General features: G+C 52.4%; 1 long non-coding RNA gene across 3 annotated transcripts in view, besides 2 other annotated features; it reads left to right on the top strand.

Moving 5' to 3' along the window:
• Window positions 1-700: 700 nt before the first annotated feature.
• The window catches only part of LOC105378617 (uncharacterized), a 36983-nt gene continuing 24560 nt past the window's right edge, over window positions 701-13123 (top strand). For all 3 annotated transcript variants that reach the window (XR_001737960.1, XR_001737959.1, XR_947128.2), the window contains exon 1: window positions 701-831. This is a non-coding gene — a long non-coding RNA (uncharacterized LOC105378617). The remainder of the gene's footprint in view (window positions 832-13123) is intronic.
• Window positions 5783-6283: an enhancer, noted in NCBI's record as "H3K4me1 hESC enhancer chr1:30667220-30667720 (GRCh37/hg19 assembly coordinates)". NCBI's record gives its function as "activates a minimal SCP1, AML or CMV promoter by ChIP-STARR-seq in naive H9 embryonic stem cells {active_cell/tissue: H9 hESC(naive)}" and the evidence as "EXISTENCE:reporter gene assay evidence [ECO:0000049][PMID:30033119]".
• Window positions 9790-10320: an enhancer, noted in NCBI's record as "H3K4me1 hESC enhancer chr1:30663183-30663713 (GRCh37/hg19 assembly coordinates)". NCBI's record gives its function as "activates a minimal SCP1, AML or CMV promoter by ChIP-STARR-seq in primed H9 embryonic stem cells {active_cell/tissue: H9 hESC(primed)}" and the evidence as "EXISTENCE:reporter gene assay evidence [ECO:0000049][PMID:30033119]".

The following is a 13123-nucleotide window of genomic DNA, read 5'->3' as shown; positions in this document are numbered from 1 at the left end:
GTACTGGCATCAAGATAGACAAAGTGATCAATGGAACAAAATGGAGAATGCAGAAATAAATCCACCCATTAAGGACAACTTATTTTTGACAAAAATGTAAAGGCAATTCAGTGGATAAAGAATCATCTTTTCAATAAATGGTGCTGAAACAAAAACTGGATATACATACTTCTAAAAATTGATCCATATCTTGTCCCATACACAAAAATGAATTGTCTGGCAAGTAATGAGCATTCCACAAAGGTTAGCTGTTACTGTTGGTGGTGCTGTTGTGGCTGCTGATGCCTGAGGCTGTTAGGTGGGTGATCCCACATGGTGTGTGAAGACTCCAGACGCAGAGCTGGGATCTCAGAGGAAACTCACAGGGGACAGATTTCAACTTTGGAGATGTGAGATCTGCCTGTCCTGGGAGCTGCCATTGGCCCACAGGTATGGGAGCCAAGACCAGGTGAGGTCTGGGTGGAGACACCAAGGCAGGGATTTCTAAGGGCTGTTGGACTAAGCCTGAGGCCATTTACCAGCTATGTGACCTTATTCAACCTGAGCCTCAGTTTCCTCATTTGCAAAATGGGGGTATACATGTTTTTGCTGTGAGAAGTAAGTATTCTGCCCATATAGCAGGCAGAGAGCCTGGTACGCAATAAGCCCTGCAATATGAGCCTCTTTCTCCCTCTAACATCCTTTAATTCACCAGGAAACAACCACCACAGAGCTGCTCAATTTGTCTGGTACGTGGACCCATGGCTCCTGAGAGGTGGGAAGGGGCTGCCTGCATCCGTGGGCCCTGAATCACGACATAGAGGAAGATGCCTCTGCTTCTCGATGTTGGAGGTGAGCACTGGGTCCCTAGGGCCTCCCACAGGGCAGCGTGCTTAACATGGTAACTGATGCCTGTGGAATGGGGTCCTCTGTCCGCCACCCAGGCGTTTGCAGTGTTGATAAATCCCCGTGTTGTCTTCTTCCCCTGCTCAGGGCTGTGGACTACCCTATGGCCTTTTACCTTTCAGATTCTGGGGGGCTGGGGAGAGGGGTTAGGTTATGGCTCCTGCAGGCAGGGAAGGAAATGGAGGTGTGCATTCATAAGTGACTTCCCCAGGGTCACTCAGCAAATCAGTGGTCAGTGGGGCTCCTGGTTCCTCCCAGGCTTCCAGGGCATGTTTTTCTGGGGTGGGGAGGGGACTTCCAGCTGAGCTATCCTCCTGCTGTGGCAGGAGGCCCTGATCCTAAGGACCTTCAGTCAACACTGGATGGGGCTCCTTTGTTCTGGTCGTCCCTTAGAAGCTGCCCTAAAGAACCCCCTGGATCCCATTTCACCTGTTCCAGGTACGGACCCCTAGGGTGGTCTACTCTAAAAGGGTCCCAACTCCACTTGCATCAGGGAGAGCCCTGGACCCTCCCCCTCCCAGAAATAGACTGGACTTGGGTCTGGAGTGGTTCTGCTTACAACCATCTAGTACAAACCTCCTCTCCCCACCCCTGCCCAACCTCAGGTCATTTCTCAGATGGGAAACTGGAGCTGGCCCAGCCACTCACTCTTTCCTAGTTTGTTCTGTCTCTGATTGACGAGCAATGGGATGAAGCATGAGGTTGAGGGCGAGAGGGCTGTGTTATCTCAAGAAGGCCTCTCCCAGGAGCTGATATTTGAGCTGAGAGTCATAAACTCTCAGGATGAGCAGGTGGGTCTTAGAGATAGATCCTCTGGTCCAGGCATCGCCGGGAATCTTTTAGAGGGCAGGAGGTGTTCCAGTGTAAATACAAAACAGAGCAAGCATGACATGAAAGAATCTGTTGCTCAGCCTCCAAGCTGAGGGGTGGTCAGGTGTGGCAGGACTGTGGCTACCTGGAGCATGCATGCCCTCCTGCAGTGGGCAAAAGCTGCCTCACTCAGCCAACTGCCCAGGCCAGAGTGCAAGCCCTAAGAGGCCAGCCTCCTGATGCTGCCAAGAGACAGAGGTCTGAATTTCTAGGCAAAATATCCCCATTTGTAAACTTTGGAAGTCCACCCAATTTTGAAAAAAAATACGCAGAAAAAAACAAACATATGCACAGGTGGATACATTCTGCAGCCATCAGTTTGCCACCTCTGACTTAGTCTAACATCTGCATTTTACAGGTGAGGCCACTTTTGTTGAGGGGGAGTGCGACTTAAGTGAAGACTGGTCCAGAATGAAAAGATCTCTGTGTCTCTCTCCCTGTCCCCTCTCCCCCTTTTCATCTCTGTGTCTCTCTGTCTCCATCTCTCTCTCCCTCCCTTCTCCCCTCTGTCTCTGGCTCTCTCCCTCCTCCCCTCTGTCTTTCTCTCCCTCCTCCCTTCTGTCTCTGGCTCTATTTCTCTCCCTCCTTCCCTCTGTCTCTGGCTATCTGTCTCTGTCTCTCTCCCTCCTCCCCCTGTCTCTCTCATCCCCTCTGTCTCTCTCTCTCCTCCCTTCTGTCTCTGTCTTTCGTCTCTCTGTCCCCCTCTCTCCCCCCCTCCCCTCTGTCTCTGTATCTCTGTCTCTCTTCCTCCTCCCCTCTGTCTCTGGCTCTCTCTCTCTCCCTCCTCCCCTCTGTCTCTCTCTTTCCTCCCCTCTGTCTCTCTCTCTCCTCCCCTCTGTCTCTCTCTCCTCCCCTGTCTCTCTCTCTCCTCCCCTCTGTCTCTGTCTCTCTCCCTCATCCCCTCTGTCTCTGGCTCTGTTTCTTTCCCTCCTTCTTTCTGTCTCTGGTTTTGTCTCTCTCCCTCCTCCCATCTGTCTCTGGCTCTGTCTCTCTCCCTCCCCTCTGTCTCCGTTTCTCTCCCTCATCCCTTCTGTCTCTGGCTCTCTCTGTCTCCCTCCTTCTGTCTGCCTTTCCCATACTTGGCATCTCCTCTCTGCCTCTCACTCCAGTCCTCCACCTCAGCCCCCTCCTTTCTCTCCCTCCCTCCTTTCAGTGACTGTGTTTATTTTCAGAACCTCTGACTCCTTCCCACGCCTCTGACATTTACTCTTTGGAATTAGAATATTTTCTATTTCTTTTTCCCAAAGCGAGGCTGCTGGGTAAGGTTTCCCTGGGGTTCCTACCTGCCCTTCTGGAGGTGAAGTGCTGGGGGCAAAGCTGGCATAAGTCACTCTAGCACTGACTGCGTCAGCCAGCAATTATTAGGCACCCACTGTGCACCAGGCCTTTGTTGTGAACTACTGCACTCAATCCACCCCGGACCCCTGTAGGACTGTTTTTATCGCCTGCACATGCTGGATGAGTAAACTGAGGTTTGGGAGGTTAAACAAGGAGTCTGTGCCCACTCAGTGGGTAAGGGGTGGAGCAGGGATGAAAGCCCGTCTCTTTCCTCTGTGCTCTGCTTTCAAGGTTCATGGATGCTGGTGCATTGAAGGACATGCAGCATTTTGGGAGAATAAGAGTTAAGGAGATGGAGATCGGTATTTAGGAAGAGGGAACCACAAGAGTGAAGACATAGGGGTGGGAACGTACTGGTGGTGTCTGGGAGGGGCCAGTCGGTAGGGCTGGAGCAGAGGGCTCAGGTCCAGGAGCAGGAAAGGATGAAGACGCGTAGGGAGCAGGAAAGGATGAAGATGCGCAGGGGGCAGGCTTGGCCTGTGTGGTTGCAGGTGATGGAAAACCCAGCTCTTCCGGCTGAGCTTGGAAGGAAATGCACTGGTTCCTCTGAGAGGTCAGTCCAAGAGGCGGGGTAGGCAGGGGTGGGAGGAAGGGCTGATCCCAGAAGGATAACATGCATAAACTACCTCCAAATACCAACCTAACAGATCACAAGAATGGGCACACATAGAGAGCTTACCAGGCGCTGGACATCCTAAGCATTTTACATGCTTTGACTCATTCATTTGCACACCAACTCTGTGAAGCAGACTCCATGAGGGAGAACAATCCTCATTGTATAGAAGAGAAAACTGAGGCTCAGAGAGGGTATGTGACTAACTCAGCAGGTGGCAGAGCCAGGAGGTGGACTGTGGTGTCCTGGCTCCAGAGTTTGGGTCTTAACCACTGGCCCCTCTCCCCACAGGCTGTGTTCAGGTTGGATCACAGGCAGCCTCACCTGTTAAGCATACTGGCTTCCTTCAGTGGGAAATGTGGAGCCCTTGACTGTTTCTAAGCAGGGGGATGGCAAGGTCAGAGTGTGCCTGAGAAGAGCAACTGGCAACAGCATGGGGCAGGCCTGGGGGTGGGAGGAGAGTGCCCATCTGGGCCAGGGCCAGGGCAGAAGGGTGGATGGGGCGCATCTCAGATGCTTGCTAATCTCCCCTTGGCCCTGGTGTTGTGCTGGTGAATAGGTTAAATAAGTGCCAGGTGTGGGGAAGGGGCTGGTTGATGACGATGGTGGTCCAGTTCTGCAGGTGTGCTGGGGCTGGCATTGTTTTTTTTTTTTTTATTTCCAGTGAACTCTGCCCTCCCTCAAGAAGGAGGCAGGCAGGGCTCTGCCCCATACACTCTCCTTATATTAGTCTTCTATGAGAAACAAGGCATCCAACACTTGGCAGCTTACAAGAACACCTATATTTTATCTGCTGCCGTGGGTCAGGAATCCAGTTCCCTGTGCAACTGGAGAACAGAGTCCTCCTCCCTCCCAGCCAGGTCCCCCCACTCCCACACATCTGAGGCTGACGTGTTCCCCCTCCCTGGCACCCGGGTCCTGAGTGGGTCAGGGACCCAGCCCTCCAGCCCAGGTCTTTTTCCTTCAGAGACCTCGGGAGACACGGGGTGCTGGGAGCCAGAGTACGGACAGCCTGGCCGTAAACCAGCGAGAGGCTCCCATCACACCCTGCACAGACAAGGCCCCAGTGGGAAGCAGGGTCTCATGCAACTGACTGCCCAGCATCATCCGCTCCATGTTTCAATTACATCTCGATGGTGCTGGAAAGATGCTCACAGCTAGAACTTCTTCCTTGACAGCAGCCTTGGAGGGGCAACGGGCGCAGAGGGGACAGCGACATGCCAGGCACCACACCAGGGGCTTTGCATTAAATGTTTATTTTTCACATTAACATTTGCTTAGTGGTTATTAAAATCCACCTCTAGTATTCTGGGAAACTGACATTCAGAGCAGTAAAGCCACCTGCCCAAGGTCACGGCCAGTGTGTGGCTGAGCTGGGATTCAGCCCCAGGCGAGTCTCACTCAGAAAGAAGCCCATACTCCAGTACTAGGGACACGGCTGCCCGGGAGACACCAGGACTCCGAGCTTCACCAACAGGCCTTTTTATCCACCCTGGGCCAGGTGCTGTCCCAGGATACAGCACACAGCTGAACAAAGCCCTTCAGGTCTAGGGTGATGTGAGAAGAGAAGGAGGAAGGGGGCAAAGCAAGGAATTCTCCAGGAGTGAACAGAAGCTCCCCTGGGTGGGTCAGGACGCTGTGTGGTTACTGTATTAAGTAAACCAAATGCAGCTGGAGGGCGTCTGAGCACAGGTGCCCAGGATCAGTCCCTGCAGCTGTTAATAATTGAGAAAATCCAAAACACATAAAGTGTCCATGGAGAGGAAGCGGTGAAAGAAAGAGGCCTTCATATGGTGTGGTGTGGGCTGCTGCTAGAAAGGATGGGGAGGAGTTTTGTGTGTTGACCTAGAGGATGTCCCTGAGGCATGGTCAGGTGGAAAAAGGAGGTTACAAAACAGGAGGCGCAGGATGAACCGAGGTCAGCCTCCACTCTTGCCTGGACTATGGTGTTGGCCTCTGGGCCCCCTACCCATTCCCTGCAAACCCCCGCTGTCACCCCTGCAAACTGCTCTCCACTCAGCAGCCAGTGACATCCTTGGAAAACCTGTCAGGATGTGTCCTTGCTCTGCTCAAAGCTCCCCAAAGGCTCCTCATGGCACTCAGAGTAAACGCCCTGGTCCTTCCAAGGCTTCCCCTCCTGCTGCATGGGCCTCCTGGCTGCCTAACAGGCACGTTCCTGCCTTGGGCCTCTGCATCTGCTGTTCCCTCTGCCTGGAATGTCCCACCCACCTGCATGGCCCATTTCTCATTTTGTTGCAGTGGGTAGCTAGGCAGGTATGAACAGGGCAGGAGAGGGTTCCCCCCTCCCCACCCCAGACACACACCAGGAGTGTTGGGCGACCATCAGGTGATGGTCAGGCAGTTGTTAACTGTCTCTCTAAAGTAATAATTGGTCACAGCCGGCACCAGGGAAAGGCTGACTTCTAATAGAAAACACCTGAAACTAGTGATCAGCTCAGCAGCTTCCCAATAAGATCTTAGGAGTTGGGAAAAGTGATGCAAGACCCCGGACGTATGCCAACACAGGAAACCCCAAGCCAAAAGGTCAAATGGTGCCTGTGTCTTTCAAGTCACCCCCTTGGCCTTCTTCCAAGTATACTTTCTCTCCTTCCCACTCTAAAGCTTTTTAGTAAACTTTCACTCCTGCTCTAAAACTTGCCTCAGTCTCTCCTTCTGCCTATGCCTCTGAATTGAATTCTTTTTGCTGAGGAGGCAAGAATTGAGGTTGCTGCAGACCTGTACAGTTACCCAAAGCCATGTCCCTAGCACTGGAGCACGGCTTTCTGAGTGAGACTCGCCTGGGGCTGAATCCCAGCTCAGCCACACACTGGCTGTGACCTTGGGCAGGTGGCTTTACTGCTCTGAATGTCAGTTTCCCAAGATACTAAAGGTGGATTCTAATAACCACTGAGCAAATGTTATTATGAAAAATAAATCAAACGTTTAATGCAAAGCCCCTGGTGTGGTGCCTGGCATGTCGCTGTCCCCTCTGCTCCCCTGGCCCCTCCAAGGCTGCTGTCATGGAAGAAGTTCCAGCTGTGAACTTCCAAGTGTACTTACTTTCCTTCCTTTCCTTTCTACTCTAAAGCTTTTTAGTAAACTTTCACTCCTGCTCTAAAACTTGCCTCGGTCTCTCCTGCCTTATGCCCCTGGGTCGAATTCTATCTTCTGAGGAGGCAAGGATTGAGATTGCTGCAGACCGATAGAGATATGGATTCGTACCGCTGCTGACATACTTTGCAGACCTGTGACTTGGATACTTTCGGCTGCTAACAATTTCTCATGTCATGCATGGCCTCTGCTTTGCCAGGGGACTTTCGTGACACCTGCATCTAACACAGCAACCCCCATAACTCTCTGTCCCTCTTACACTGTTTCATTTTCCTTCATGGTACACGTCACCTGACATAGTTCCTATTTAATGATTATATTCATGCATCACTGTCACCTCCACATACACCCAGAATGACTGGGCCCTGGGTCCTGGGGGCTCAGTTAGCCTTGATCCCTGCTGTGTCCCTTGGGGTTTCCAGGGCAAGACTGAACTTGAGGGCAGGCATTTTTGGGACTTGGGTAAATCAGTTCCCATGTGATCTATTGAGGTCTACCTGGCTAGAACTCTCCTGTGGCTGCTGATTACTCTAGAGATAAGCACCACAGTCCTCCATGAAGCCTGCACTCCTGCCCGTCTCTGCCCAGCCCCATCTGGCACTGCCCGCTCACTTCCTGTCTGGGCCCAGCCCCTCTGGCTGTTTTCCTGTTCTTTGTCCTTGCTTTGCTGCCTCTTGCCCCAGGGCCTTTGCACATGCTCCCTTGGGTTCAGCATGTTGTCTGGCACATAGCAGGTGCTCAATAAATGAGTGAATGGGAGTGAATGGATGAATGAATGAATAAATGAATGGCATTGCCTCAGGTGCAGCTGGGAGAAGGCTGACAGGTGTGTCCCTGTAACATCTGTGTGGCAAAGCTCAGGACCCAGGGGAAAGAGAGGAAGATGGTCATGGGGAAGAGGGGGGCCCAGCAGAGGACAGGGACAGGGAGTTGCCCCCCTCTTTCAGCCTCGCAGGCAAACCCAGTCTCTTCACCCAGGACAAAAGCACCAATGAGTTTATCACGTTTCCTTTCCCTCTCTTCACCCTCAATCTTGCTGCAGTGTTCCTTAGACCAGGTGCCCAGATTTCATGATACAGATGCTCCATCTGTTCCTTAACCACTGCCTGTCCATGGATACTCATTTGTTTCTGATTTTCTCAGTTATAAACAGGGCTGCAGTGACTCATTCTGGGCATCTGTGCTCAGGTGCCTTTTGAACTGGAGTTTGGTAACTTGTCACATAAAATGTCTTTATACATCCTGCACTACCACCATCACTATTTAAGAGGTGGCTGTGGAGAAGCAGAAAGGGCCCTGGGAAGGCAGACAGGGGATGTGACTTCCTTTCTGGCACTGTCTCATCCTTCCAGAAGCCGACCCTGGTGGTCCCAGACTGCATGGACTTCATTCCTGATTCCTTTGCATTGTGTCTGCACCTTCCACACACTTCCCTGCTTGTCCATTTCATGGTAAATGGCAAAACATAATTTATATTGGAACCCCCACCAATACCCTCCTCTCCAAGAACTGGGAAGTTCTTCAGGGTAAGAGCTCTGTCTGATTCATTTCTGTATCCTCAGCCCCTGATGATTGTTTGACCCTCAAGTGTAATGAACAGTTTACTATAGACAAGCCACCGCCCTGCCCCATGACTCAGTTTCCCCTTCTGTGAGATGGGAGTCTTCCTGGAGGGCATGTCCCTAAGGTCCTTCCCACTCTAGGATTCCATGGTCTAATTGATAAGCCAGTAACCTCTTGGAGCCTCAGTTTCTCCTTCTGTAACACAAGGTGGTAATAACACCCACCTCACTGAGTGCCGTGAGAGGGGCCAGCGCGGTGGCTCACGCATGGAATCCCAGCACTTTGGGAGGCCGAGGTGGGTGGATTACTTGAGGTCAGGAGATTGAGACCAGCATTGCCAACGTGGTGAAACACTGTCTCTACTAAAAACACAAAAATTAGCTGGGTGTGGTGGCGGGTGCCTGTAATCCCAGCTACTCGGGAGGCTGAGGCGGGAGAATTGCTTGAGCCCCAGGCTGTAGTAAGCTAAGATTGGGCCACTGCACTCCAGCCTAGGAGACAGAGCAAGACTCCATCTCAAAAAAAAAAAAAAAAAAAAAAAGGCAGTGAGGATACCTGTGTGAAGTGCTCAGCTCCTCACTCAGGAGGGCAAGAGGGGCTGCTGCTGTGATGGGCACTTATTCTGCTGGGTGTGGCCACTGCTATAATGGGAGGGGCTGCTCCTCTGGTGGGCATGGCCACTGCTATAATGGGAGGGGCTGCTGCTCTGATGGGTGTGGTCACTGCTATAATGGGAGGGGTGCTGCTCTGATGGGCGTGGTCACTGCTATAGTGGGAGGGGCTGCTGCTCTGATGGGTGTGGTCACTGCTATAGTGGGAGGGGCTGCTGCTCTGATGGGTGTGGTCACTGCTATAATGGGAGGGATTGCTGCTCTGATGAGCCTAGCTGCGGACATCTGTCTGGAGCCTCTGACCTACTTCTCACTCCACCCATCTCCACCCAAAACATTTGCTGTCAGTTCCTGGAAGCTGCTCTGAGTCATCACTGGTCTAAGCTTTTAAGCAGCATTTTACCATTTTGTCCCCACAACCCACAGAAGGGCTGAGATAAAGGTCTTAAGCAATTTGTTTGAAATGCAAAACACTCCTGTCCTCCCTCTGTTTAAAGCCCCTCAGAGGCTCCCACTTTTCCTAAAGCAAAGACCCAAACCTTGAGCTCTGCTGTCAAAGCCCTGTGAGGCCCAGCTCTCACCCGGGCCCCTCCAGCTTCATTCCCAGCAATTCAGGTGTGGAAACTGAGGCTCACCCAAGGCCATTCTGTCTGGAGATGGCAGAGTCCTATTCAAACCCAGGCCTGTCAGGGATCAGTCCTGGGGAATTACTGGCTGGCAGTCGGTTCTGAAACACCTGCCTCCTGGTGCCCATCCTGTGACCCTTTTAAAAGCAAACAAAGGCTGTTTCTACTCCTCTATCTGGGTTTGATGATCACACATGGCTCCGAGGGCAGCAAAAATACTGTCCAGTCCAGGGTGTTTATTGATCAGAATGAATGGATGGCCTCATCCATGTAGGCCTCCTGATGGATTGGTTTCCATGCACCCAGCCGTCCCCATAGCCCCAGCTCACCCTGATTTGTTTTCCTCCCGACAGCTGCACATCTATTGATTTAGAGGGAATCTGTCAAAAGGCACTGAGAGGCTCTGATCTGTCGTGGCTACGTATGGTAAGAACTCGAGAGCCTTTGAAGGAGATTAGTAATTCATAATCACTGTGATTTGGGTCCCAGGCCCACAGTCCAAGGAGATGCTCCCTCGGCTCCTCATTAAAGAGCTAACTGTGTAATTTGACAGCGTAGCTGTTGTGTCTCCACTGCCCTTTGCTGAGTCTTTAGAGCCATTTAGATGAAGGCATGTGGCAACTCTGCAGCAGTGTATTGGGAGTGGAGACCTCTGGGCAGCCTTGCTGGCATAGACAGCAGCCCAGAGCCCGGCTCACCTGGCGGGGGCTCCAGTCAGCCCACTAGAAACGTGGACACCGAGCCCGTGGGAGCTCTTTGCTTACACTTGCTTCCTCCTACAGACCTTCATGCAGCCAATATCCCTGGGCAGCCACTGAGCTGCACTGAGTATTAACAAACCAGGATTCGAGGCTGCACACAGCTTCCCTTTTCCTTTGTTCGTTATTGATCTGGTAGGGAGGGTGTCCTTAGGCCCTGGGTTTGGGGGATATAGGAATATGATTTAGGGTGTCCACCCTCAGGAGCTCATCATCTGATGGTGGAGGCAAGTGCCTGAGTGGAGAAGCGTGAGGCAGACTGACAGTGGGGGTAAGACAGGGGTTGTATTCTAGTGGCACTGGAGTGAGGTGGTAAGGCCCAGAGGTACATGGGTTTGAGATAGCTCTGCCACCAGCTGGCTGTGGGAGTCAGGGACAGTCACTTACCTCACTGAGCCTTGGTTTCTCATCCCTACAATGAGGATCAGTTTGGGATTTGAGGGAGTTGGATTAGTTGATTCAGTTAAGTGCTTGGCACAGGGGCTGGCACACAGTAGGTGCCTACTAAACAGTAGCTCGCCTTTATGCATCCAGTAAGCAGGTGTTTAGTGAGCACCTGCTGCATGCCAGGCCCTGCTCAGGGAACTGAGAATTCGATGGTGAAGAAAACTAGATGCAGACCTGGTCCTCAGGGACCTTAGAGTCTAGTGGAGGAGGGGGAGGCCATTGATTAAAGAATCCCAGAGCTGAATTCAAATCACAAACAGAGATCAACTCCGAAGAGGAAAGGTGGGACCTAGGGGTGCCTATTGCAAAGGATCTGGGCCTAGCCCTGGGGCAGGAGTCCTCCCCAGGAAGATGACAGGTCAACCAAAATCTGCAGTAATTAGACATTTACTATCTGCAGGGGTGAGAAAGAAAATTCTAGATCTGCAGTGCCCCTGTGGCAGAGGAACCCCTGACACCTTCTTGGCTGAGAAGTGGCTGCTATGGCTGGAAAGCAGAAGGCAGGCGTGAGTGGGGAGGGAGGGTGTGGGGAAGCAGGTGCCCCAGGGTGTCCAGGTCACACTAAGGCTTCTGGATTGTACTGGGAGCAGGGGCAGAGTGGCAGGGTGGTGTTTCCACACTGTCCCTCTGGCTGCTGTGGGAAATTGGCAGGGGTAGACAGCAGGTGGGGAGGGCAGGGCCAGGTGGGGGCCAAGGCAGTGGCCAGACCAGAGGTACCAGTAATGGAGAGGACAGGACAGATTCCGAGACATGAGGAGTGCATGGGCAGGACTGAATGTGAGGTTGGGTGAGACAGCAGAGGAGGTATCAAAGGGAGGAAAATGTTCCAGAAAGAAAGATCAGCTCAGAGATGGAAAGAAGTCTCCTGGCTGGGGTGACTGTATGGATGGTGGCACCAGACATGGGAAGAAGGGACCCAGAGAAGGCTCATTTCTGGGGAGCATGGAGCTCATGAGTCTGGACCTGTGCACGTCCAGTCTGTGATGCCTTTGAGATTCCACACCTGAAGTGGAGTTGGGGGTTGGGTCTTTCTCTGCGGACCCCTAGCTGGGAGGCTATGAGGGTATTCAGAAGAGAACGGTCCAGCTCTGCTCTCAGGGGCTTACACATGGGGACTCCATGGACCATCACAGGTAAAGGTTGTTGTTAAGAACAGTGGACACCCTATGCTATGGGGTTGTGGGATGGAGGTCAAGGTCAGCTCTGAGGGTCACCTCTGAGCTGAATCCTAGAGCATGAACAAAATTCACCAGGCAGAGATGGGGAAGGACACCAACGGCTGAAGGGCAGGTTCAAGGGAGACTGCGGTGTTGGTGTCTGGGAGGGGAAGCAGTACAGGAGGCCAGAAGCCACAGGGGTCAGAGCAGGAGGGGCCTTGAATGCCGGGTGCAGGGTTTGCTCGTTATCCTACAGGCCCATTCCAGTTTCAGCAGGACGACGTGCTCAGGGCTGCAAAAGTGTGGGAAGGTAAAATGTTGCAGGAGGAGGCTCTGGCAGCAAATCAATCAGTTAAGAGGCCTGTGATGGTACAGGTGACAGACTAGGGCAGGACAGACACTGTGGGAATGGTGTGACGCTGGTGGACAGGAGTGGCCTCAAGGGACAAGAGGACTTGGGCCAGTGAAAGGCATAGTGTGGAGTATGTTCAGAGGGCTCAGAAACTGGAAGAGCAATAATACTGGAGTGCTCCGTGGGCCACCAATGGGAATGACAGACACATTCCTGAAGGGCCACCTTGCAGGGTATCGAGTCATACAACATGGGTTTGAGACAGGACATTATTATATGAACACCTGTAATAAGCCTTCTAGCAATCCTGGAAAGTAGGTGCTGCTGTCACCACTATTTTCTAGATGAGCAGAGACACAGAGAGGTACAGAATCACTGGGAGGGCTAGAGAGCCAGGCTCAGGGGTTGTGGCATCAGCACAGATGCCCCAAATCAACCCACAGGCAACAGCATCTTGACCTCCTCTACCAAGTTCTGCCCCCAACAGCTTGCACCACCTTCACTACCACCACTGACCCTGCAGGCTACAGGTGAACCCCTGCCATCTTGTTTCCCATGGACTGTAGTTGGACATGTGCCAGCCTCAGCTGCCATCATCAGCTCCATTGCCAGAATAGGCTCAGCAAGGAAAACCACTTCCCACTGGACTTCTGGCCCAAAGTCTATACTGGGAGGTGGGGCGATCTGATTGGAGAAGCCTCGTCATGTGACTTCACCCAAGCTCTAAAGGAGGCTGGGAAAGAACATCTCTGGCAATTTCAAGCTTTGTCTCCTAAGTGGAGAATTAACTAA

This window comes from Homo sapiens, chromosome 1, assembly GCF_000001405.40.
Source record: "Homo sapiens chromosome 1, GRCh38.p14 Primary Assembly".
Classification (NCBI taxonomy): domain Eukaryota; kingdom Metazoa; phylum Chordata; class Mammalia; order Primates; family Hominidae; genus Homo; species Homo sapiens.
This window is presented reverse-complemented; position numbering and strand designations above follow the sequence as displayed.